Source organism: Homo sapiens, chromosome 16, assembly GCF_000001405.40.
Source record: "Homo sapiens chromosome 16, GRCh38.p14 Primary Assembly".
In the NCBI taxonomy this organism is placed as follows: Eukaryota; Metazoa; Chordata; class Mammalia; order Primates; family Hominidae; genus Homo; species Homo sapiens.
Window position 1 is genome coordinate 82170845 of NC_000016.10, and position 27996 is coordinate 82198840.

The following is a 27996-nucleotide window of genomic DNA, read 5'->3' on the forward strand; positions in this document are numbered from 1 at the left end:
AGGCAGGGATGGGTGCCAAAGACACATGAATGAGAACAAAGCCTGGTTTTGATCCAAAGAATTGAAAAGACCATAGCGAGGGGCAACATAGGGAGACCCCACCTCTACAAAAAAAAAAAAAAAAAAAAAAAAAAAAAAAATATATATATATATATATATATATATACACAAAAAATATACAAAATATACATACAAAAAATATATACAAAATATACAAAAAATGTACAAAAGATACAACAAAAATAGCTGGGTGTGGTGGCACGGATCTGTGGTCTCCACTACTTGGGAGGCTGAGGCTGGAGAATCACTGGAACCCGGGACGTCGAGGCTGCAGTGAGCTGACATCCCGCCACTGGACTCCAGTCTGGGCTACAGAGTGAGGCTTTGTCTCAAAAACAAAACAACAAAACAAAAAAGAATTTAAAAAACCACTGAAAATAGGGTAGCGTTCCTACCCTGGTGTTTAATGCTCTGGGTACCACCTAAACACGTTTTCGAAAACCATTCCCAGGTCCGACGCTTTGGAACACCCTCAAGCTAATAGCATCTCGGCTGATACCATGAGTTCTACGTCAGATTGTTGACCTGGTCACCTTAGGGCTAATTAGTTCACTTAATCCCCATAAGAACCGGAAAGAAGGTATTGTCATCGTGTTGTTAAGGATTCTGAGACACAGAGTGGGTAACGCACTTGGTGTTCACACAGCTAATCCATGTTAGAGCTGAAATTCAAACACCGATTTGGATGTTAAAAGCCCTTTAGGTTTTCCCAGGGGTAAATAAAATCATTGTAATGTACCAAGTGGCTACAGAATCTCATTCACTTGTGACTGTGTGTGAGATGCCGGGGGTATAATAGCGTGTAAAAACACATATCCCCACCTTTCCTGAAGCTGATATTCTGGACGTAAGTAAGTGGCGACTGCTATGAAAGAGAGAAAACAGTGATGTGACAGAGTAACGCTTAGGGTTACTTTAGACCAGGTGGTTTGGAACGGCCCTTGTCAGATGATGGTGCTAAGGCTTGAAAGTTGAGAAAAACGTGTTTTATGAAGAGTTGGAGGTAGAGTGTGCTCAGAAGACAGCATCAACTGTAAAGGTCCTCAGATATGAACAAGACAAAGTCCGTGTTAAAAGTTTTACAAGTGGAAACAGTAGAGGTTAATCATAAGCCACATTGCATCCCCCAAAATTCATATGTTGAAGTTCCAACTCCCAGTGCCTCAGAATGTGAATGTATTTGGAGACAGTCCTTTTTAAAGAGGTGATTAAAACAAGACCCTTAGGGTGAGCCCTAATCCAGTCTGACTGATGTCGTCATAAGAAGAGGAAATTTGGACACAGACACCAAGGTTGTGTTTGCATAAAGGAAAGACTATCTGAAAGCCAAAAAAATAAAAAAAATTTAAAAAATCTCTCAGGAGAAACCAAACCTGCCAACACCTTGATCTTAGACCTCTAGCCTCCAGCACTGTGAGAAAATCACAACCAGTCTGTATAGGGCACCCAGTGTGTAGTGTTTTCTTATAGTAACCGTAGCAGACTAATATACCATACAATTAGCTGTAGATGACAGTTGTGATGAGAGCCCGGTAAGGAAAGTTTGAGGGTCATGAAAGGGTACAACGAGGGTACCTAAACCATTCTGGCCTGGAAATGAGGACTCTCCTAAACGTAGAGAGGAGTTAATCAGGGAAAAGGCCCACCAATCATTCACATTGTTATGCTGCTTTTACCACCATAGGACTCTTCATCTTGCAAAATGAAAACTCTTGTTCCCATTAAACACTAATTCCTCAGGTCCTCACGACTACTTTCTGTCTCTATAAGTTTGGTTTTTCTGTGGGATTCTCAAAGAACTGCTGTGAGAGTAGAGGTGAAGGGAGAAGTGACTCAGTCTGCCTTCTGCACTTGGGAAACTAAGGGGCGACTGAACTAGGATGAACACATGTCTTGTCAGCTTCAGAAGAGGAAAACAGCATTCCCGGCGAAATAAGAGCATATATCTATCATGTAAGGATGCTGGAAGCGCCACACCTTCTCTATGGACCCCTGTTGTACCAGTCTGTGTTCTGATTTGTTTTTCTGAAACATTGACATTATTATGTTATTCTTTCACTCTAAAATTTACAATATCTGTTATTGTCTGAGAGATAAAGCTCACCTTCTTCAACCTGCCACTCAAAATTCTATTTTTCTATTTGATGGTGAAAATCCTTATAATTAAAATGAATCCCCCAAGTCTTTTCCCACCCCTCAACATGTTATAAATGAGAAGTGATTTAAGAGTAATAGTGTAATTTTAACTTTGAAAACTACCTGACAAGATAATTCCTTGATCTTTCTATGCACCTGAATTGCAGAGCACAGAGGATAGATCTCACAATCAATAATGTGTTAACCTGTTGTAGTTACCCAGCCAAAGAAACATCATTTTGAGGGAAGAAATGTTTCAAATAGGTCTTCACACAGTTTTGAGTCCTGTCATAATGGAATTTGTTGGAAGTATGAAAGCCTCCAATTCCTGCCAACTACTATATCCATCAAGAAAAGGTTCCCTGTGACTCTTCACTCCCATAGCAGATCTAAGGCTGTGGTGCCTAGTGCATAGATGCTTGTCATATGTGACTAGTGAGCACTTGAAATGGGGCTAGTGCAACTGAGGAACTGAATATTTTAGTTAATTTAAATTAAATTTTATTATATTATTATTATTATTATTATTTTGAGACAGAGTCTTGCTCTATCACCCAGGCTGGAGTGTCGTGGTGCAATCTTGGCTCACTGCAACCTCGCCTCCTGGGTTCAAGCAATTCTCATGCTTCAGCCTCCTGAGTAGCTGGGATAACAGGTGCCCACCACCACACCCAGCTAATTTTTGAATTTTTGGCAGAGATGGAGTTTCACCATGTTGACCAGGCTGGTCTCGAACTCCTGGCCTCAAGCAATCTGCCTGCCTTGGGCTCCCAACATGCTGGGATTATAGGCTTGAGCCACCATGCCCAGCAATTTAAATGTTAAAAGTAACAGTGTGAGTTATTTTTCTGTATATGAGGCTATATTGTTTTGGAAGGAACATATATCACTTTAACTTTTCAAAATTTAGCATCTGCATTGAGATGTGCTGTAAGTGTAAAAGACATACCACACTTCAAAAGACTTACTCTAAAAAAAATCTCAATATTTTTTCATATTATATATTAATAATAAAGATATATTTGTTTAAATAAAATATAGCCTTAAAACTAATTTCATCTGTTTCTGTTTACTTTTTAAAATGTGGCTGCTAGAAAATATAAAATTACATGTGTGGCTTGCATTTTTTTCTTTTCTTTTTTTTTTTTAAATACTGCAATGGCTATGCATACCTTCCTAGTGCAGAAACTGGAGGAGAATCTGGGGTGAGCACAGGAAGGAACTCTTTTATGCAATGAGACAATGAAGGTGGTATATTAAGTATTAGTTTTTGTTCATTTGTCTGTTTGTAGGTACCAGATATTGAAAAGACTTGTTAAACAAAATGGTGATTTAGAAGGATACTGGGTAGTTCATAGGTGTTGAGAAGGCTTGATAACAAGGCTAAGTTAAAAGAACAGAAACCAGGGCATTCCAAGGAACTTAATGACACAGCAAGAATGGTGAGCACCAATTGATTTCTCTGCTCTTTGGACACTTTACTCAAGTTTTCAAAATCAAGGAGAGAGTTTTGTTATGTCTCAGCTAAGGGAGGGCAGGACCTGATTTACAATTTCAAGAAGACTATACACAATGGGGGAGGGTAATTCTTTAAAGAGAAATTGGGTGCTGTTCCTCAGAGATAGTCACTATACTAGCCACAACAGCAATGCCAAGGACATATCCACTTAAAGCAGGATGAGAGTTCTGTTGAGACAGCTGGAAGGACAGACAAATGGTTGAGTGTGAGTTCCGAACTCATGTCCAACATCAAATCCATCTCGCAAAATGTGCTCCCTCTTTCTGCTTCCCTGATTTATTCATCAAGTATTTTTTTTTTTTGGCTACCTGTTACATGCAAATTGTTACTCCAGGTTAACCAGCCTAACAATGTAGTAGTATAAGGCATTCCTTCTGCTCTTACCTTCGGTTACTTATTACCTTTTCGTGGATGTCTTGGTTAAATCAGAACATTAGTACTGGAAATGGCCTTATATGACATCTAGGTAATTCCTAAACATCAGTAAGTTGTTATGAGAAAGATCATGAAAAATTAAAACACATCAAAACCAAAAACATTGCTGATTCTCTGGATGATTCTGATGATCAGCCAGTATTTGGAAACTATATAGAGTTAGCTGGACCTTTTAATTATGTATACCAAATTATGTCAGCTCAGTCAGAATTGAGGTTTGTTAGCATTCCACCTAGCTTTTTTTTTTTTACTGTGCCTCCATCCATCCCTTCTTTTCTGTTGCTGCAAGCCTATCCCAGAATTTATGCCTAAATCTTACTATGTTATGACTGTCTGATTGCCATAGGCTCCTATTTTTTGTTCTGCCTTCTTCATTTTTTATTCTTTTATTTACCAAAAATTTTAAGGCATCTCTTATGTTTCTGGTGCTTTGTTAGGTACTAGGGAAACCACCCCCGCCATGGGTATGCCCAAGACAACGATATGGATCCTAAGTACTGTCATAGAGATGGAAGATGTGGAAGGCAGCATAATCTGGATTTAAAGCGCTCTGAGATCCATCCTTGGGAAAGTGACAGCTAAGCCGAAACCTCAAGATGAGTTACACGTTTGTGAGACAAAAAAATGGAAAGGGGCATGGAGGAGTGAAGTCCAATAGAAAAGGGTTAAAGTGATGCTTGTTGTATAGGTGACAAGTCTGGGGAGGCAAGTTACGGCCAGATCTTAAAGGCCATGTATTAAATTGGTAGGATTTTATCTGAAAGTTTCTGCAAGGCTATTGAACTGTTTTAAGCAGTAGAGTGACACCGTTTAAACATTGCACAATAGAATTGTGTGATTCTTAAGATCACTGGCTAAAGTGGAGAAGGGAAATGGAGGAAGGAAGAACAAAGCAGAAGACAAGGAGAAAGCCTGACCCTCAAGCCATTTTAAAGATTATTTTAGATTACACTTCGTAATTTCCTGTAGATTAATCTTCCATTTTATCTAGTTCATCCTATCACCTTTGAGATAAAATCCAAACCCAGGTCGAGACTTGATGGGTAAGACTTTCTACACCTGCCTTCTAGCCTTATCTTCTAGCTTTTCATCTGTCTTATATGTCTCAACGTACTCTCCTCTAGCCAAGTTGATCTACTTACTGTCCCTCCAAACATTCCATATTTATCCTTCATATAAATTTCATACTGCCTTCTCTTCTGGAATGATGCCTGGAATAATGTTTTTGGTGTTCTTTCAACTTTTCAAATCCTACTCCTCAAGGCCCAATTCAAATTTCACCTTCTTCTTACATCAACTGAAAATGATGATAGGGCTGTGTTATAGTTTCAGTGTTTAATTACACACTACGTTTCATTGTTAACTAAAACGATTTCAGGTGCAGGAGGACAATTCTGGGTTTTATACTCACCTTAAATGTTTCACAGCTTTAAACACAGTTCTTAAGATACTAAAAAAACACTTATTGAATGAATAAGTGAAAAACCGCCTGCTCTGTAAAATGGGTGAGACAGCATTTAAAAAATTATATACATCCTTTAATAACTTACAGGCCCCACAATACCCAACAAATTCCATCCAGCTGAGTTGACAGGTTTTTTAAAAAATTTTTAATTTTACCAAAGAAAATTAAAGAAATGAAAAGTCAAGGATGAGGTAAAAAAACAGCTTATTTTCCTGTACTAATTCTATTTAAAATGTTATTTTCAGTTAAAAGGTATGATATCTTTGGCCTGTGAGGAAATTTCTAAAGAAGCCAGTTGCTATGGGGATTATGAAGAGAAACAATTTAAAAAACATAATCAATTCATGCAAATGAAGCCAAAAGGTCTAAACCTGGAAGACATTTGGGAGGGATGGAGGAGGTTCTCAGAAAGAGGAAGCACATGGAAATGAAGTGTTAGGGGAATATGTTATAACTGGAAACCTGGCCATAGCTGACATAGGGTTGTTACTTTCCCAAGGAAAGGGAGTAATTGTCGTATTTACTAATGAGAAGGAACAAAAGAAAGGTCTTAAATCAGAGGACTGGAGAGGCCAAACAGTCTTCTCTTTACCTACAACGGATCCTTACTCCTAGAAAAGGAGAGAGCAGGTTATAGAAGCCGTTGCCAGCTGAAAAGAAGGCTGCTGGGCCTGTGGACTGAGTCAAGGGCTCTTGCTCTCACCTTCCTATATCCCTCTACTACTCTAAGAATATGCCTCCCACCATTAAAAAACAGAAAGCCAATATTTTTCTTATAAGGACAGTTACATGTCTTTAAGTTTTGTTATTTTATTTATTATTTATAGTAAGTTTTTTTTTAAATTCTTCTTTTATTAGTTGTGCTGGGAAGGCTTGTTTGTTCTGTGGCTACTGGAGAGCTCCACATAAGCCGAATTCAAGCCATGCAGGTGCTCACAGCTTTTGGAGAAGGATACCATCACATATACCTGGACACAAATCATCCCGGCACATTCCGGTGGTACCCAGGCACTGCTGACCCTAACAATGAGACATTTTCTCTGTTTCACACAGCAGCAGGGGCTGAAAAAAACTCTGCAAATCCAATTTACTGTTTTAAAGAAAACTAAATTTATGAAAATGATCTCTAGGGGAAGTTGTACGGTGGAGTGGAAAGAACATAATCTTTAGAAATAGAAAGACTTGAATTTGAATCTTGGTTCTAGGATTTCTAGCCATGAAAGCCTGTAGTAAGTTTTGCAGACTTAAAAATGCATTTTGTCTTTCGGAGAATTTTTTTCCTGTTACAACTTTAAAATAGAAACAAAAAACTGTTCTCCTGGATTACGACTTGTATGCTGAGAATATGCCTGAAAAATCAAAGGCAGGTGCATTAAACCTTGCATACTCACCAGATGGCGTAGGTTGATGGAAAGTGAATTCTTAATCCTGATGCTGATGTTGAAGACTCCTTTATCCCACTGGTGTTCTTACCATAGTTAGAAATTGCTGGCCTAAAGAGCATGGACAAACCAGGGCAGGGGTTTTCGTGACAAAAGTGAATAATTAGGAATCAAAGTTCTCTTTTTAAAGCCCTGTAAGTTATTAAGGAATTCTTACGTTTGTAGATATTTTGTTAGCAATGATGTGATAAAGTGGAAAAGAATCCAATTAGATATTAGATTCATTTGATTAAAAAAGATTAGTTTCCAAACTATGATATATATGTGTGTGTGTGTATATATGTATAAAGAAATGTACAAATTAGAAAAATGAAAGTCTCACCTACTTCATTTCCCCAACTCCCATTCCTTAGGGGCAACTTCCATTAAATCTTCTGGCTTCAAAAATTTGCACTAAAAGAATGCTCTTTAAGTGAACTTTTTTTTCTGTTGAATTGTTTTAAGAAAAGTATCTGTTTCTTATAGTAAGAAGGCACTGCAAAGTGCTATAATTGTTTTTCCTTCTTAAATATACCTACAAACAATTGTTTTGTTATATTAATATTTCTCTGCTGAGTAACATTTGGCCAAGACTTAACTACCACCATTGGATGGCAGCCTAAATTGCCACCCCTGAGGAAGTGAATTCATCCTTGACAATAGGTTCCATAAAATCCATCTTACAAGTGACAGGTTTGCACAGATGTTTTTAAATGAAGTGTTGAATAAATGGTTCCTCTTGTTTCTAGCAAGCATGAGAGTGAGAGAGCGAGTGAGCAAAAGAAATGACTAGTGACCAGTTGAGAAAGTCCTGTCTTCCATTGAGCCATTTCACTCCTGCCCATCTACTCTCAACTGCTCAAGAGCCGCTGAACCCTCTGAACACTGTGAGGATCAGATGAGACAACGTGTGTGAAAACACCTTACAAATACAAAGCTGTGAAGATGTAAAGGATGGTTATTACAGAATGGAGGTAGATTGCTTCTATAGTCTCTTTTATTGGCATGGTGGATTTTTAATGGAGTAGCCTGTATGAATTAACTACCACAAACTAAGATCTGTACTATTGGACATTTTTATTTTCTTTAAATCCACTTAAAGTTAAATCTAACATCTAATTATACTTATGGGCTGGCAGAAATTAAATTTAAATATTTATTAGTGATGTCCTGCCCCAAGCATAGTCCAAGGGTTCAGGGTCTTAAATGATGCCAAATCATAGGTGAAGATCTCCTTGTCATTGATCATGAATTATGTCCTTATCTCACTGATAATGCAGAGATATCCATTTTCCATTCATCTTAATCTTTTTAGATTCTGCTTCTCCCTTGCTTCCAGTCCACGTTCGGTGTCACAAATCTTCGAGAGGACTGGAAGTCTAGCATCCAACATTACTGCGTGCACAATACAGACACTGTTTGCCTTGTAAGATTCTTTGTCTCACTGGATCTTCTGAACTCTGACCTCTACCCATTATTGAAAAAACTTATTCTTCCCTTTTGCTGCCCTAGAAAGTACTGTCTCTCCTGTCTGCCTCTGGGCATCAGGGACATACCTCTTCAGTGTAGACTTTTACAAAAGCCAAGAGGAGCTATAGGATTCAGGCAGTTCCCCTCTATGTCCTATAAACCTCCTCTCCTGCCCCAGAGATAAGACGTACAAAGTGCCTGGCCACCTTCCTGGAAGTGTTGAGGTGTGCATAGAGTAAAACATGAAACTCAAAACATTATTCTGCTCCAGTGGCATAACAAATAACTTCTCTTGGCTTCAGCATGGCAAAATTTTGGTGAACACACTCCAGGTTGTATGTGTCCTCCTAGCTGGATGAACAGAACACTCCATGTGATCTTCTTGATTTCTTGACTGTACCTAGACTAAACAACTGTTTTTGTTTTTTCATCTAGCTGCAATAATTCCAGTGTAAGAGGAAAAGGAAAATACTTCATTAACTCTAAAAAAATAATTATAATAGTTTATAATTTGCATTTGTTGATAAATAGCTCCCTTAACATTGGTGAAATACAATAACCAGCTTCTATGGTTTCGCTATTGCATTTGAATTTTTATAGCATCATTCAAACTATAAGAAAGCTGAGTTGCATTTGGTTTGTGCTGCTTAGGGGATGTGTGTTAGGAATGATTAGTCTTGTAGATTAAATTATTATCTAACCAGTCAGGAGGAATTAATTGCTGTGGTTTAAAGATATGGCTATTTGGCATTTAGTAGATCAGTTTTAAGGAGGGAAACTGTTAAATCTTTTTGCTATGGAAAATTTCAAAAATATTCAAAAGTACAAAGAAGAGAATACTTTAATCCCTACATGGTCATCAGCCAGCTTAATTATCAATTTATGGCCAATCTTGTTTTATTTATGTTTCCAAGTTTTCCTCTTTCCATCCCTCTTTCAGTTTGAAGCTAATCCTAGGCATTGTGTAATTTATCTGTAAATATTCCAGTAGATATCTCTAAAAGGTAAGGACTTAAAACAAAACATAATCCCAATGCCATCATCACACTTAAAAGCTAAGCAACAATGAAAGAACACTTTTTAATGATCCTTCTGTTTTCATCATTTATCTTATCATTTATCTCCTTATCATTTAAAATTTAATATTAGATTATGTCAACAGCAGAAATCTATACCTACTAACATATTATGAAAGATATGCAGGATACGTTAAGTGAAAGAGGAAGTAGCAATAAATTCTATAACATGGTTTATTTCTATTTTAAAAATTATAAAAATGAGGCTGGGCACGGTGGCTCACGCCTGTAATCCCAGCACTTTGGGAGGCCGAGGCGGGTGGATCATGAGGTCAGGAGATCGAGACCATCCTGGCTAACACAGTGAAACCCTGTCTCTACTAAAAATACAGAAAATTAGCTGGGCGTGGTGGCGGGCGCCTGTAGTCCCAGCTACTCTGGTGGCTGAGGCAGGAGAATGATGTGAATCTGGGAGGCAGAACTTGCAGTGAGTGGAGATCGGGCCACTGCACTCCAGCCTGGGCGACAGAGTGAGACTCTGTCTCAAAAAAAAAAAATTATAAAAATGATATCTATATTTGTTTAAATTTGTAAAAGGTTGGAAGCATATATCGCAAATCAAGAACTGTGGTATTTAAAGTAATGATTACAATTGATATTGTGAGTAGGGAAGAGACTCTCACTTTAAAACCTGCATTAACAAAATCTTTTTCTAAATATATATATATATATTTTTTTTTTTTTTTTGAGATATATTACTTGTTTTTTTTGAGACAGAATCTCACTCTGTTGCCCAGGCTAGAGTGCAGTGATGCAATCTCGGCTCACTGCTATAAAAACTCAAATGCAATAGTGAAACCATAGAAGCTATGGAAGTATTTCACTCACTGCAACCTCTGCCTCCTGGGTTCAAGCAATTCTTGTGCTTCAGCCTGTGAGTAGCTGGGATTATAGGCCTGCACCATCACACCTGACTAATTTTTTGTATTTTTAGTAGAGATGGGGTTTCGCCACTTTGGCCAGGCTGGTCTCGAACTCCTGGCCTCCAGTGATCCGCCGAGCTCATCCTCCGGGATTACAGGCATGGGCCACTGCCTGGCTGAAAATGTATATTACTTTCCGAATTAAATTTTCAAAGGAGAATTCATGAAAGGAAGAACTTGCATATATTTTGTTAAAATGTGAAATGAGAGACATTCTCAGGGCAGGGTGTGCTATCCAAATATTGTCCCTCAGTTGGATGATCTTACTCTTGGGTTAATAGGAGTAGCAGCTGGCATGTATAGCTTGCTGGCCATGTGCCAGGCACTGGGATAAGTGCTTTCAAGCTGGTGATTTATTTGTCACCACAACCCTTTGAAGTAGGTATTGTTATTATTCCCATTTCACAGATTAAGAAACATGATCTACTGAAATCCCAGTGCTTGGCTTGGAAGGCTAAGATAGGAGGATTGCTTGAGGCCAGGAATTCAAGACCAGCCCGGTTAACACAGTGAGAACTCATCACTACAATAAAAAAATAAAAAATAATAATAAAAAAATAGCAGGTGTGGTGGTGCATGCCAGTAGTCCCAGCTGCTTGGAGGTTGAAATGGGAGGATTATTTGAGCCCAGGAATTTGAGGCTGCAGTGAGCTATGATTGAGTCACTGCACTACATCCTGGGGTGACAGAATAAGACCCTGTATCTAAAACGAAAAAAGAAAAGAAAAGGAAATAAAAGAAACATGATCTAGAGCAGAGAAATTACTTGCCAGAGGTTTGGAAGAGTCTGACCCAGGCTTGGTCCTGAGCTGGTGGGACTCCCTGGCCATTGCTCCACTCACTTCATTGATCATTCTGCTTCCCTGGGTTCTGAAGTCTCAATATTACCAAATGAATTTTGTTATTTCAATTCATACTTGTTTGCCTCTTTTGTTGCTGAATTGCCATATTATCCTTATTTTATTATGAACTCAATGGCTCAGACAAGACAGAGTAGTAATTCCTCCCATTTTATCCCTTGTCCATAGTATCTGATTGGCCTGAAAGATGAAAGGGAGAAACAACACAAAAGGAACTTCATGCCTTTTGTGATTTAGGAAACATTTACATGACAAGCAGGTGGTTCTTGTCATCAATGGCTTTTTGTATTGTGCCTCAGCTGCCTAAAGTTTTTTGTCAGTGGAAAATGTCATAAAGTTCCTTTTAATTTATCTATTCCATAAACCTAGGACAAAGACATAGCAAGTATATGGGAATAGAAGTGCACAGCACTTTTATTTGGAATACATTTCACATTATAGTTGTAAACAAGCTGTTACTATCTTTTTAAGCAAGTTGTTATGGATTAGCCCTTGCATACTGTAGCAAATTTATTTTTCACAACTTGACCTTAGCGTCCACAATGCTTTGGAACCTTTTGGTCATCTTTTGTTCAGGAATAACAAATTAACTTTATTATGTAATATAAGAAGAATGGGATTGCAAAACAAAATCCACAAAACGATATGTCCACGTACACACAAACACATATTATGAGACATGAGTTATTTGCATAGTCACACTATTATTTCCCTTATCTATTGGAGATAATTGAGATATTACTGTACACCCAAAAGGGAACTGTCTATACCCCAAAGAAAATTGATCGTTAACAGAAAGTTGGCTGAGTTTTATATTCCAGTGATTGTTTCAGAATAAAATGTTTCTATCTTTTGCACTTCTGTGCCATAGCCATTCCACCAGGGGCCATAGGGACTGGGTTGAGAAAACACCTCTGACCAGGACACTTTCCAGAACTTAGACCACTCAATGACGCTCTTGACACATAGTGAGAAAGTACATCAAGGATGAACTTCACAGACTGCAGGAAGATATTGCACAATTCTGCTTGTATCCTTAACATAAGATTAGATACTTTAGTCATTTAGATTACAAATTTCACTCTTCAGATAAGCTGAATGGTAGGCCCTTCTAGTGAGTAGTTAGTTCACAGTGTTTGGAGAAAAAAATTTAATATTAATTCTTCTGCAAATGTATAGATCTCTATGCCTCAGTTTGGGTATAGCCAAAGAGGATATTTTGAGAAATCCTATGAATACTCATAATTATGTTTGGTGAGATTTTTCAAAATACCTTAATTCTGACTCTTTAGGAGGCTCAGAGAGATGAAAGAATTTTTGCTCTGAGTGGAAAGAATTGTCCACTGTTTATTGTCATGAAACATTATGGTGTGCTTTAAAAAATATTTGGTTAATTCAGGAGCCATAGTGTAGGAAATTCAGTTCTGTAGCCTATCTTCTAGGTGGGTCTCCCGCCAGTGTCTGGGATACCTTATGAATTTAGGTCTCATAAACTAACATTTTCCCTCCAAGGGGATGTATTTTTTCTGTGACTTATATGTCATGGTTGGCTTTTTCGTTCTTCCTTCTGATGAATTACCTTGCAGTTGTTGTTACTTAGAAAGTCCAGAGGTGGGTGTTCAGTTGTGTCATAAATGTAATCTTTTTTTTTTTTTTTTTTTTTTGAGACGGAGTTTCAGTCTTGATGCCCAAGCTGGAGTGCAATGGCATGATCTCGGCTCACCACAACCTCCGCCTCCCAGGTTCAAGCGATTCTCCTGCCTCAGCCTCCCTAGTAGCTGGGATTACAGGTATGTGTCACCACGCCTGGCTAATTTTGTATTTTTAGTAGAGACGAGGTTTCTCCATGTTGGTCATGCTGGTCTCGCACTCCCGACCTCAGGTGATCCGCCCGCCTCAGCCTCCCAAAGTGCTGGGATTACAGGCGTGAGCCACCGTGCCTGGCTCATAAATGTAATCTTAATATAAACCATATGGCAGAGGAGATTGTCTGTAAGGTCATGGCTTTCATGACATTTTTAGTGTTAGGGCTGGAAATGTTCTCCAATATCTCAAATTCTTAATTCATTAGAAAACTGTAACCACCCCCACCTCCCACCAATTTAAGCAGCTAGTGCCAATTCCAGAACTAGAGAGGTGGTATTGCACCACAATTACGTGCTTTGGCTCTGAAGTCATGTGGTCTGGGTTTGAATCTTGCCTCTGCCACTTACTAACTGTGTAAGCCTGCGCAAGTGACCCTGTGCCCCAGTTTTGTGCTTCAGTCTGAAAATGGGATAATCATAGTACCTCGTTTACAGAGTTATTGGGAGAATTAAAGAAACGAATACGGGTTAAACACTTAGCAAAGTGCCTGGTACATAGTGAGTACTCTATAAATGCTATCAGAATTAGAATTCTGTTTCCTGCCTCTCAGTTGATTGCTTTATTGTTACGCCACATTGTCTTTCCCGACTTCCCTTAAACGGAGTAAAATATTTCAATAGTATTATTTCTCATTGGAATTGATTAAATATTTTAGAAAAGAGCACACAGTTAACAAGTATCGTTGTAGCCATTTTTTCTATATGGGAGATGGTGATATGTTAAATGAAAATTTAGAATGAAATGAAAAATGTAACAATGTATATCTGAATATATTCAGGTAATGTTATACAATACATTACTTTTTAATACAGCCATGTTCCCTAATTTGCATAACAATTGACCACTTTAGTAGCCCATTAGATAAATTGAGCCCAATTAACCAATTTAAGCTTATTACAAATGCACGTCTGTAATGTGAAACTGTTACTGGAAACTCATTGGAACTCAACTTTCCAGTAAAAGGAACCCTTGATTTTTCAATAAAAGAGGAAATATCTATTTTGGGTCCATGTACATGATATGGATTTAGCAATGATTTGTGCTTCAATTATAATCACTTACTGCCTTTTAAAGAGAGATTCATGTCTTTCCAGCTCTCTATGAAGATATATTGCTATAACAACAATGACTAATCTTAGATACATGATACTGTCCACCTGTTAAACTGTGTCAACTCTATGAATTGAGCCATAGCATAGTGAGTTAAGCTCTGATCTATTTCTATTAGGTATATGTGGTTGATACTTCAGGCTGTCTACCCCATTGTCATTCTCACCAGCCTTATTTGTTACTGGTAGAATTCTAAATTTTCTCAAATATTGTGTAGTAATGTATTTTAGGGGAAGTTAGGGTTTCCATCAGCCTTGAGAGGAGGTGAATATTGAATAGTCTAAATCAGACATTCTAATTCTAATTATTACCCTTCCGATGATTGATTTAGACATGGCTTTGTGATATAATTTTGTCCAAAAAGTATTGAGGGGCAGTCTTTGGCTTAGGCGTATGGTGCTTCTGTGTAAAATTTACACTTAGAAGCAAATGATTCGGCCTCTGACGATTGTCATCCTTATATGATGCCTGGAATTGCAGAAGCCATCTTAAGGATCTTGAAGAAAACCAGTCTCAGAGGGAAAGTCAACATGCTTAGGTTGGAAGAGTAGTAAGTTGTAAAGAAGGTTTCTTTTGACATCAGTGAATTACCAAGTGAACTCACCATGGAGCCACTCTAGCTCTGGACTTCCTGCTTTGTGATATCATAAAAGTCATTATTTAAGCTAATTCTAGTTTGTCTTCTTTTATTTCCAACAGAAAACACACTAACCAAAACCATGTAAAATCACTTCATTATAATTCTGGGTTTTCTTTGTTCTTTGATCATAGTTGTCAGAATTAGCTGGTGATGCTGATAGGATCAGGCATAACATCGCCCTTGTCTCTTGTGTTTTCACTTGACAGTTCCCACTATTTCAATATTTGTAAATATTTAAACTTATGTTAACCGGTGACATTTCTTTATTCTTGAGTTAGCATTTTAGGTACAATCTTATAAATATTAAATAATAAAATTAATCTCGTAGGATTCCTTTTGTGTTGCAGTTTCCTTTGCCCCTACTAAGCTCCTTGGATACAATCATTTTTTAGCACAGCTCACTTAAGGGTATCAACTTGAATGAGGGTTACCTCAGTGAGCACAAGGAATGAGGTAAACCTTTTGTTACATTAACACAACCATCTCCTTTGAGCTGACGTACTGTTTTTCTAACATGAATGCTTAATTTAGATTTCTTAAAATTAAGTTTTCTCTTTTTTTAAAGGTGATGAGTACAGAATCATGGAATAGCAGCTGTGGATTAAGAAGAGTGAACAGGGCTGGGTGCGGTGGCTCACGCCTGTAATCCCAGCAGTTTAGGAGGCCAAGGCGGGCAGATCACCAGGTCAGGAGATCAAGACTATCCTGGCTAACACGGTGAAATCCTGTGTCTACTAAAAATACAAAAAATTAGCCAGGTGTGGTGGCAGGCGCCTGTAGTCCCAGCTAATCGGGAGGCTGAGGCAGGAGAATGGTGTGAACCCGGGGGGCAGAGCTTGCAGTGAGCCGAGATCGCACCACTGCACTCCAGCCTGGGTGACAGAGCGAGACTCTGTCTCCAAAAAAAAAAAGAAGAAGAAGAAGAAGAGTGAACATACGTGAATTGAGATTGGTGTTGTGTTAAATGAAACAAAGAAATAATTTGACATATATATAATATATTTTTTCAGCTGGATGAATGATTACTATACATAGATGTTAATTGATTCATGTAAATCACCAGGGTTACAGTTTATGGGAGCCTTTTAAAAATAAGTGCAATTACATAATGACCAAGTCTGTAGGGAGGTCTTACCGCCTTTAGAAAATCATCCTTCCTTTCATTCCTGAATAAGTCACTGCATTTTGGCTACTATTATTTTACCTGTCCGTACCATGTATAGTTACTGATATGGTTTGGGTCTGTGTCCCTGCCCAAATCTCATGTCAAATTATAATTCCCAGAGTTGGAAGTGGAGCCTGGTGGGAGGTGATTGGATCGTTGGGGCAGATTTCCCCTTTGGTGCTGTTCTCATGATAGTGAGAGAGTTATCATGAGATTTGATCATTTAAAAGAGTGTAGCACCTCCCTCCTGTCTCTCTTCCTTCTGCTCCAACCATATAAGATGTATTTGCTTTCCCTTCATCTTTGTCATGATTGTAAGTTTCCTGAGGCCTCCCCAGCCATGCTTCTGGTATAGCCTGCTTAACTGTGAGCCAATGAAACTTCTTTTCTTTGTGAATTATTTAGTTTCAGGTGTTTCTTTATAGTGATTTGAGAAAAGACTAATACAGTTACTGACAGAATAGTATCCCCATTCACTATGTGAGTAACTCTTCTTTAAATGTTGTGGTTTCATCTAGAGATTTATCTTCTGACCCACCAAGGACCAAACCATGAATGTAGGGAATGGGGTTTCATTTAAAGGCGGCACTGTGAAGTCAGGTATTTCTGTCAGTCTTTCTGTCAGCACTTTAGGCAAAGCAAATTGGAAGTGAACTGAACAGATGGGACCTGTTAAGAGAGACCCTTAGGAAGGTCTCCAGGTGGGGCCGCAATCCTTAACATTGCCATATAGCAAATTCTTCTTCTCTTGGTAATAAATAGACTAACAGACCATGATTATTTTTCTTAATCAAAGAACCAAACTCCTAAGCCTTTTTTTAATAGACAGCCTGCTTTATATCTACACTGATGAAGAAAATAAGAAATATCTAATAAAGCTTAAGATGTATATCTGCTTATGCTTAAAGCCTGTTTATTTAGAATACCTCTGCCTGCTAGCACTTTTTAGTAGGTATGTCTGGAGAGAGATTGGTGAGAAACTCACTCCTTCCTGTCCAATATAAGGCAGAACAAAGGTGTGACTGGGTGTCAATGTCACTGTGGGTTTTCAATTTCTGCTGATAGAAATGTAAAACTTTCTCAGGAGTCTTGGTTTTACATGCTGGGAAACCCCCTTCCAACTCAGTCCTCATAGAAACTTACCGGTAGGGGTGAAACTTTTTTCCAAACTCCATTTCACTCCCTAACTGAGCAATACCAGGTTTACATGATTAGAAATTCCCATCTTTAGGCAAAAATACTGGAAGCAGTAGAATAATACTGAGATATTGTTTTGCATTGCATTTGACAGGAAATAAGAAACATGTGAGGTCCTTTTATGAGTCTCTATCTTTTGACATTCTGAAATTTCTTCCTTATCATGATATTAAGAATTAAAGAACACTTTCTGCTGAAGATGAGAGATAGATTCCTAATTTTGTAATATCGTAGAACTAGCACTAATGCCAGCAGTCTCAGATTAGTCTTAAATCACTAACTCTTTTGGGGGAATAAGGATGGGGATATTCTTATTGTATAAGAATCTTGGGGGTCAGGGGGTTTATGTAGCTATTGTGCTGGACTGTATAAGCTTGACTGCTTTTACGCATCTTGCACAAAGTGAAATAATAAAATAATTTTGAAAATTTTTGTCTATCTCATTTATGTTAAGGACTGCCAAGGAAAGTGGGGTGTGTGTGTGTGTGTGTGTGTGTGTGTGTGTGTCTGAGGGCATTGGGGGTGGGGTAGAGAGAGAGACAGAGAAATTCCACAGAGTGGAGCTGTGCTGAAATGGCCAGCCCCTGTATCCTCTTGGAGAAGCTCCTTCAAGTGCTGAAAATTCTGCATTTCATTTTAATAAAGGAGGTGAAATTCCCAATGTAGTGGCACACACAACCCCATTTAATTATATAATAGATCATGTTATTTTTCACACTTGAGTATTTTTACATGTTTTGCAAGCATTTTTCCAAATCCAGTTTCTACTACAGATTGTAACCCCTTTTGAGGAGGCAGATTTGTATTCTAATTCTTTTTGTATTCTTGCACAGAACGCATATTGCAAACTGCAGGGATTCAGTAAATCCTGATAACTAGCCAGTTTTAACTTGTAGATGAGACAGTTCTTTAAAGGTTACGAAAAACTTCAGCAAGTAGCAGCAGGAGCAGTCGTAAACTTTTTTCTTAAGGAATACATTTAGGGAAGGATGTGAAAATATTTCAGTTGTCTTGGTAGCATTATTCCTATGATTTCCACTTCTTAAAGAAGGTAACAATAGATGTAATTTAAGCGCTTTAGCTGCTGTCGTCATCTAATCTATTAAGCACATAATTGTCCAGTATACCCTTTCTTTTTTTACATCCCTTGTGGATCATACCTGCTTCTTGTTTGGTTGTTTAGCATATTTTCATTGTTAGTTCAAATGCCAGTTTTCCTGCCCAGTCAAGTAAGGTGTAAAGCACAGAGGGAGCTGCATCTTTCAGGTGTCAAGACTTCTCTTTCTCTTTGGCTCTTTTGCTCCATTCTTTTTGGCCTCCATTTCTAGAGTGCACACCTGCCCTACAATTAGCATTTAATGGCAGCTGTGAGGCTCATAGTCTCAGACATTTGCAAGGACTCAAGACTGCAGCTGAAAGAAGCAGCAAGCATGCCAAAATTGATAGATTTCTCTTGCCTTAATGAAGATTACAGATGGAAATACTTTTTTGCGTGTGTGTGAACATGCTGGGATTTGAGGACTAATGCTATTAATCAATGTGTACTAAAACAGAAACAGTTGCAAATATGTAGTATAGAGTATCAATGGAATAGAAAACAAACCTTTAACTAAGCCTGATTTTTTTTTAAAGTTGGAAAATGTTGCCAGCCTGTTTTGATGTAATTGAAAATGTTTAGAAGCTTTCCTGAAGAGTTGATTAATATATCAAAATCAGAAAAGGCAATTTTGAGTCTAATTTTGTTTGTTTACATTGTAATACAGGATTCTTGGCTTTGAAATTCTGCGGGGTGAAAAATGACTGTCAGTGTGAAACAAAGTAGTCTATTGAAAAGAACATTGTGTCTAAGTCTAATAGGGAACAGCTGATACCAGCCCAATGCATGATATCCAGAATTACAATATCTTAATCAGTCTGAATAGTTCCTTACTGGTGAAGTAGAGTCCAGATTTGGCCAAGGGGGAGTCTTTGGCCCCTCACCTCTTAGTACAAGAACCCAAAATAGGGAGTTGGTGGGGAGTCACTCTGGTCCAGGGTGGAGGAACAAGGATAGTTTGGCCTCTTGATGAGCTGCAGACTAGAACATCTGCTGTGTGCACAAAGGTGGAAGCAAAGTCATGAAGGAAGGGCTAGCATGGCTCCTGTGGTAGGGCCTGGAAATCTTGATGATGCTCCAAGAAGCTTTTCCAATGACTTCTTGACTTTCTTAATGTGAATGAGCTAGATTATAATTATATTTGTAATTATATTTTGGCACTCAGCCTTTGGAGGAAGAAGTATTAGTTCCAGAAAACTTGCTGTGCAAGAAAAAAAAAAAAAAGGAAATTTTACCCAGAGTTTCTGCCTTCTTGGTTGAAACATGAGTATTCAAAGAGAAGTAAATGCCTGCTGTAGTGTGATTTCACTTCTTCCTCTTTCCTGGAAAGTTCCAATTTCATATATTTTCCCCATTATTTCATCACTGATAACTCCTAGAAACGACGATATTTTGGTGGTTGTACCTGCTAGACTGTCTTTCAAATCTGGAAGCAACACAAAAAGTCTTTTATAGGATCATAGGTCTTGGTTTGGGGTTCAGAAACTAAGGTCACCACATGTAGGAGATAGAACTGAAAAAACAAACCCCTAAAATCAACCTAATCTTCTACCCCTTTGGGTAGATACTAGAGTTTCCAGCCCAGATTGTGACACAGCCTCTGCTTGAATATCTCCCCTAATAGATTGGAAACTCACTTATACCGGGGAAGGCATCTAATTATTAGTAAGCTTTGTATTTTTAATCAAACCTCTTTCCTATAGTCTCACTCATCAGGAACAACAGAGAATGTTTTCTTATTTTTTTTGACAGTTCTTCAGATATGAAGATAGATATCTTCATATCTCTGAGTCTTCTCTCTCCCAGGCCAAGGTTTACCAAGCCCTTTAATCATGTCATTCATAATGAGATTTTCACCATTCCAGGGGTCTTAACACTATTTTAACTTTCATTTTCCTGGTCTAGCTTTTGTAGAATAAAACTGGAACCCTCTTCCCTTAAAAAAATTCATGATAATGCAGTTTAAGATTGTTTTAGTTCATTTTACAGCCACATATTACTATTGGTTTAGACTAATCTTGTGGTCAATTGATGCCTCTTGGTCTATTTCAAATAAATGACTATCGTCACCCCCTTCTCCCCCCTTCCCCCCAATCCGTGCATATGATGCTTAGAATTGGTATATGGAACTTCATCTTCATACCTAATATATATATATTTTTGAATTCTGGCCTGCCATTCAAATCTCAGACTCTCATAAAATCTTGATTTTTTTTCATCTGATGTACTAGTTTTTCCAGTCAGCTGCAAATTAAGGTAGGTTTCTCATGTTTTTATAAGTGTTATCATCATCTTGTAAAAAAAAGGACACAATTTTTAGTGAGACAGATCTCGAATTTTAATCCCAGCTTCATCACGTAACTGCTGTCTGATGTTAGCCACTTATTTAAACTCCCTGAACCCAGTTTTGCTCATCTCAAAGTGAAGATGATAATTTCTACCTCTTAGTTTTGTTGTGAGCATCTCCAATAGTGTTAGAGCAGAATACAGTGCCTATCACATGGTAGGTAATGGTGATGATAGTAATAACAATAATAAAGATAAATGTTTTCTTGACTGGGAATCAGAATCAATTTTCTTGTTATCTTTCTTCTTTTCTGTCAGAGTTAATATTTTGGATAAGGCCAAGGACAGAACACTGTAGCCACTAGAGACCATTCTCCAGGTTGACATTCACAAATTGACAAATGTTATTGAGCAAAAAATATTTATTGAGCACATCTATGTTTTAGTACTCTTCTAGTGACTAGGAACTCAGTGGTAAAAAAGACAGCAAAGTCCCTGGCCTCATGGAGTTCACATTCAAAAGGCCAGGGCTACTGAATAACACAGGGACATAATTCACACAGAATTTGTTGGTTCTGCAAGAGCAGGAGAGAGACAAATTATGTGTATATGTACATATATACATAATATATATAATATTGTATATAATACAATGTCAGATAGTGAGAAGAGCTAGAATATATAATATGATGTCAGATAATGACATGAACCATACAGAAAAAGAAAACAAGGTATTCAGTGTATTTAGAGGGCAAATGCTATCTTATATCATACGGTTAAAGATCTCTTTAAGGAGGTGAAACTGAGGTAGACTCCTAATGGAGGGGGGCCATGAGCTGCGCAACTCTCTGAAGGAAAAGTGTTCTAATCAGAAGGACATTGATTCATAAATGTAAGCTTTTTTGGTATGAATGGTCAACCAGGTATTTGTTCTCTTAAAAGCACTGTCTTATCCATCAGATCTCCAAGAATAGTAAGAGGCTTTGTAAATATGCTTACCCTAACTAGTCTAAACCACAGATGGATCTGAGCTTGTCTGGGGATTCTGGGGAGGCACAGGGTTTGTATTCCCTTGCCCATGTGACGGCCTTTCTCTCTCTGGTGTTTCTCCTTGAGCAAGTGTGCAACTTCATGGAACATAAAGTAAAGGAGGGGACCCATCACCCAGCCAGATCGAATGAATCAACCCTTGTGGCCCTTGGGGTGATGGGAGCCCCATCAAGGTTGCTCTCCCACCACTTACTGTACACATGACATCCTCACTGTCACCAGTCCTTAAAGCTACACACACAGGAAGGCATGTAGAATCTGTTACTTTTCTTTAGTGAATACATCCTGGTTCCTCGTGATCACCACTTCCTTTTTAAGGGCTGACACACCATCTAGTCATACCCTGTTTCAAAATCAAGCGTGCAGATCTGTAGGTCACAGAATACACTTTCCTCCACCTCATTTTGAAAAATTAGAATACTAATTTCCTAGCTCTACACGTCTCTAGTACATGTCTCTAATACCTTGCCCCAGCACCTTTTCAACTCTCTACGACCCTGTAAAGATTACTGACAGTGACTCTTAGATTTCATCTGCAAAGGCTCTTCATACTCCAGGACGTAATTTGTTTAGGCCTGGAGACAAAAACTCATTTAAAACAACAAGATGGTCTCCTGCTATCACCTTACCTATCTCATACTTCAGTTCCTTCTAAACTACATTTATTCAACTCTCCTGGGTTTAAAGATCATTGTCCCTGATAAAGAAGGTGGAAATACAACAGGAGTGGAGATATATGACTTTCTCTTTGTTATTTGTTAATGTTATATCTTCTGCCCCAAGCAGTGAGTCTGTGATTTTTAGGTTTATCTTTTTACTTTGATTGTAGCTGATAAGAGGGATGTGTGTTTGTGTGTGTGTGCATGCGTATGTTTCTGAGTTTGCGGATGAAGGCTTAAGCATATTTCACTTCAACTTACTGAGGGATGAATTCTCCCATCTTGTTGATTCAGTTCAATACATATTTTCCCTTGCTTCAGTTTGTGGCTTTACATGAAGGCTCTATAACCACACCATCCATGGTCAAATCCTGGCGGTTCACTTCCTATAGCATGGGCAAGTTAGTTCACTTCCATGAACCTGAGTTGGCCTTATCTATAAAATGGAGGTAATAATACTTAAGGACTTGAGGCCAGGCACGATTGCTCACACCTGTAATCCCAGCACTCTGGGAGGCTGAGGCAGGTGGATCACCTGAGGTCAGTAGCTCAAGGCCAGCCTGGCCAACATGGCGAAATGCGGTCTGTAGTAAAAATACAAAAATTAGCCAAGTTTGGTGCCGTGCGCCTGTAGTCCCAGCTAGTCAGGAGGCTGAGACATAAGAATCATTTGAACCCGGGAGGCAGAGGTTGCAGTGAGCCGAGATCGTGCCACTGCACTCTAGCCCGGATGACAAAAGGAGACTCTGACTCCAAAAAAAAAAAAAAAAAAAAAAAATTTAAAAGTAAATGATTGAATGTACATAAAGGGCTTAGAAGAGTGTCTGGCACATAGTAAGTGCTAATCACCACCACCATCATCATTTTTTAATGTATTCCTATCATCTTTCATATGTATATTTCAGAGGTCTTCCTGGTCAGCCACAGTTTGTCTTATGGTTAGGACACACTTAATCCAATTGTTTGTATATTCTATCTCTGTGTATTTAGGCCCAAACAGTGAGCATTGATGTAAATGATGATGTGAGGCTCTCAAAGAGCATAAATCATCAAAGAAATATGAAATTGCATTTAATGTACTCATGGCGGGAGCAAAGTGAATGGATGCATTTTACAAAGGCTCTCAGCCAAGTCTGGTTTGAAACAGAACAGAGACTTTACAATATTCTTGCTCTAACTAATAGAAGCCATAAATAGATCTGAGCTTGTCTGGGGGGCTCTGGAAGGCATAGATGAAAGAATTGTCTTCTTAATCAGAGAACCCAAATAAGCAACATACCCATTTTCAAGCGTTCTGGCTTAGTTCGAGTGCTTAAGGAAAAACTTACCTTTGTCCCACATAAGGCCAAACAAATCTATAAAACCTCATGGGAATCCTAAAATTTTGTTTCATATCTGTATTACAAGGTAAATTTGAATCACTTAGGGAATCCTCAGCTTATCGACCTTTGGACCATATGATAGCTGTTGGTGGGACATTTGATAGAATTTAATTGGTTGCTGTATGGAGTGCCTGTGTACTTACGTTTTCGTAGTGAATTGCCTTTGGTGTAACAGCCATCGTCACATTCCTGGCCTTCTTTGTTTGTTTGTTTGTTTTTGGTGTTGTTTGTTTGTTTGAGACTGAGTTTTCCTCTGTCGCCCAGGCTGGAGTGCAGTGGCACAATCTCAGCTCACTGCAACCTCTGCCTCCTGGGTTCAAGCCATTCTCCTGCCTCAGCTTCTCGAGTAGCTGGGACTACAGGCACACACCAGCTGCGAATACAGGCACACACCAGCTGGGAATACAGGCATGCGCCACCATGCCTGGCTAATTTTGTATTTTTAGTAGAGATCGGGTTTCACCATGTTGGCCAGGCTTGTCTTGAACTCCTGACCTCAGGTGATCTGCCCACCTTGGCTTCCCAAAGTGTTGGGATTACAGACATGAGCCATGGTGCCCGACCCTCCTGGCCTTTGATTGAAGAAGGAAGTAAATCTGCTTAACTGTCTTTCTTGGACCTCTCCTATTTCCAGGACACTGACATATGTCAGAAACTTACAGAAGCAGCCACAGCCTGTGTAGGGAGGGCCCTAGAGTACTGGAGGGATGCCTTGGACTGGTGGGTAAATGTGACTAATTAAGGAGTATTAGCAAGTCCATTTGTTCTCAATTCTCCAGCGAAATTCTCTTAGTCTTATCAGTTATAATAATAAAGCTGATATTTTGATCTCTATGTGTCTGTCTTCTGTGTCTTGTTTCTCGATAGGTTCTTAACTTGAGAAGGGAAGAGAGAGCTATTATTTATTGATCTGCTCGTACCTCAAATGGTGCAAACAAGAAGAGTGAAGGTAAGCGATAGTCATTAGCTCCTTTCTTTACATGTAACCAAGATGTGAACCAAGACAGTCTGGACCAGTTGAACAATTTATCCCTATGAGTCAATCAAAATCAAACATCACTGAGGCCATGCTCTGGAGAGGAAAATATGGATTTTTAGTGTCATAGATATTAACCATCAATCAGCTATTGGTTATTTGGAAATTGTTGGTGTCTTTGTCCAGACTTTGCTGCCTATTTTGCAATGTAAGTAGTTCATGCTTGTTCTAGTTTTACCATTCACTCCAATTTATGGGTTGTGTATAATAACATTCTGCTGATCCTTGGTTTCCAACATGCTCAGGTTAACCATAATGATTCCAACTTCTGTTTCATGTCACTTCTTCGTGTGTTTACCCAAAACACACAGAGTTCTATTGGAAAGAAAGTAAAGCAAAGTGTAAAATCATGAGAGGAGTTCATTGCACCATGCTGGACTAATGTTTGGCCAAATTTATGTCTTGGGGGTTGATTTGGAAACAATGCTTTCAATTCCCTTTTACCATATACGTCAGAAGAATTTCCTGTTAGATAATATGATGTTTTGACTTGGTTTCAATATGTTCTAGTACAAATACCCAGGGACAAATTCTTCAGCTGAATACATCTGAGAGATGAATTGTTTAATTGATCTGACAGTCTTTAGGCAACCTGTGAAAAAAGGATCTGATTGACTTCCCTCTGGGAAAACCTGCCCTTTTTCCACCTTTCATCATAGTTAAGCAAACAGACAGACAAACAAACAAAACATAAATCTAGGAAGCTGTGATGAAAAAGGAGCTGCTGGCAGCATGCAGGCAGAGGCAAAAGCTAAACAGAGCTGATTGGAAAATGACTTTCTTTCTGTGGATAGAGTGTGAGGCTTTTTTATTACTTGGAAGATGGAGGAATCTCATTGGCTTGGGGAAAAGAGAAAGTTTGAGCAGGATCAAGAGCAGAGGTCATATAGATGGAAAGAAACGAAGGTAGGAAATGTCTAAAGTTTTGTCTGTGCAACAACCATCCAGTAGCTAGAGACATCCTTTGTCTCCTCTTAAGGAGTATAAACCAGGCTTAAATCCTTTTTAAGCCAGAGAGAACTAGAGTAGACTGGAGGGTGGAAAGATAAACGATGGCCTGGATGTACAGGAGATGGCATATCGATGCAAATGACCCAAAAAATAGGGCCAGATTTAATAACTAGTTAATGAGCATAATTCAAACTAATTGACCAGAAGAGAAGACCCTGGATGCACTAGGCAGGACCTTCCAAGGGTAGAAGGAAATGAGCAGAGGAGACATTAGTTCTCAAGATGAAGAACCAGAGAGAACTCTGGTGGTGAGCCACAGAGTTAATGCCAGGAAAGCCTGAAGATAGTATTCTTTGGGATGCAGATTAGGGATTGTTTTTTCCAGGGGCCAGATATCAGAGTTGAATCTAAATCAAAAATGAATGAAACATGTATTGATCAATTGCTTTGTGCCCATCACTGTGCTGGGTATTGAAGATAGAGTGGGGGCGGGGGGCAAGACAACCTAACTCCCGCCCTCCTGGGGCTTACAATTCAGAAGGAGGTGGAGCAAATTAAAAAGTTGTAGGCCAGGTGCAGTGGCTCATGCTTGTAATGTTAGTGCCTTAGGAGGCTGAGGAAGGAGGATCACTCGAGGCCAGGAATTTGAGACCAGCCTGGGCAACAGAGCAAGACATTGTCTGTACAAAAAATAAATACATAACATAAAAAATTAGCTGGGTATGATAGCGAGGGCCTGTAGTCCCAGCAACCTGGGAGGCTGAGGCCAGAAGATTGCTTAAGCCCAGGGATTTGAGGCTGCAGTGAGCTATGATTACATCACTGAACTCCAGCCTGGGCAACAGAGTGAGAGACCATCTCTAAGATTAATAGTAATAATAATAATAGTAATAATAATAATAATAATAGTAATAATAATAATAAATAAAAAGTTGCAAGTGCTAAGTGGTACAGGGTATCATGGCAACACATAGGCCATACCTGACCCAGTAGCTGGGAGTGAGGTTAGGGGAATATTTCTGGAGGAAATTACGTCGAAGCTGAGAGCTGAAGGACAAGTTGGAGTTAGGCAATCAAGGAACAAGGAAGAACATTCCAGGCCAAGTGAGCAGGATGTGGGAAAGCCTGGGGGATAGGTGAGAAAGAGCTTCAGAGTTAAGGATTCAGAAATCTGAAAGTAGGTTAACACTACACTCCAGGCACTTTTTGCAGGTAGTGAGTTTGCATGAGTTTGAGTCTGTAGAAAAAAGTTCAAGTCTTGACAAAGTCACCAGGTGAACATTTCTTGATGTTTGTTCCTTGGGATGCAAGGGGTGGGGCAATACAATGGCATTGAGGGGGTCCCCAGGACTTTGGTGGAGAACCCAGCAAGCCTGTCGGCAGGGAGGTCAGCGGGACGGTGGAGCAGGTTTTGTGTGATTCTCTGGATGCTTGGGCCGTGGCCAGTAGACAACATGCTGCCAAGTTCAGAAGAAAAGAATCATACTGCATAGGAAAGTGAATCTTGCACATGGCCAGAAAAAGGAAAGACAATTTAGTTTTATATGTTACACTTTAATAATAGTCGTTTGGAACTTCATAATGAAATTTGTGAAAAAAGTTCATTTCCAGAAGAATAATCTCTAACTGGTATGCAATGCCGCAGTAGGATTTGTCCAGGTTTTAATTTTAGTTTGAATAAATAATGTAAGATACTAGCCTGGGTGAGATAAAAGAAAATCTCTCTGCTTTCATCTCTCCATGATGGAAATAATAACTACTTTATTTCAAAACAAGTTTCCAATTAGTTTCTGTGAAATATTATTATCCCCCTTTCCCAGATACTGTAGCTCATTTTGAAACTTAATTTTGATAATATATAAACATTTCTGAAACTTACCCTACAGGAATGACAGTTATATTTGAAGGGAAGGACGCTGCTGGGCTGTAACTGTATTATTTGGGATGGTTCTAAATAATAGTAAAAATAATAAAAGGGAATCAGTCAAAGTGCAATCTCATTTCATGGCTATTTATGACCTAGCAAGGACTTATCTTCACCAAGAGCACAGATGAAGCAAGGCCACTTTCTCCAAAGTTATTCAGTGGAATTTTTTCCTTTCAGCACTAGTTATGGGCTTTACTTAAGAATGTATATCATCTTCTTCCTATTTACAGAGATGGTATTGTTTAAATATTTAATGAATTAAGCGT

At 38.7% G+C, this 27996-nt stretch overlaps 1 pseudogene, besides 2 other annotated features; it reads right to left on the reverse strand.

Moving 5' to 3' along the window:
• Positions 11451-11595: an enhancer, noted in NCBI's record as "145 bp 16:82215972 sequence used in MPRA reporter constructs". NCBI's record gives its function as "activates a minimal TATA-containing promoter with rs2911405 allelic activity by MPRAs in C283T melanocytes {active_cell/tissue: C283T}" and the evidence as "EXISTENCE:reporter gene assay evidence [ECO:0000049][PMID:36423637]".
• Position 11523: a transcriptional cis regulatory region, noted in NCBI's record as "rs2911405 or 16:82215972 MPRA-significant variant associated with a GWAS melanoma risk locus at 16q23.3". NCBI's record gives its function as "allelic transcriptional activity by MPRAs in C283T melanocytes {active_cell/tissue: C283T}" and the evidence as "EXISTENCE:reporter gene assay evidence [ECO:0000049][PMID:36423637]".
• On the reverse strand, positions 21661-21946 carry RN7SKP190 (RN7SK pseudogene 190; annotated as a pseudogene).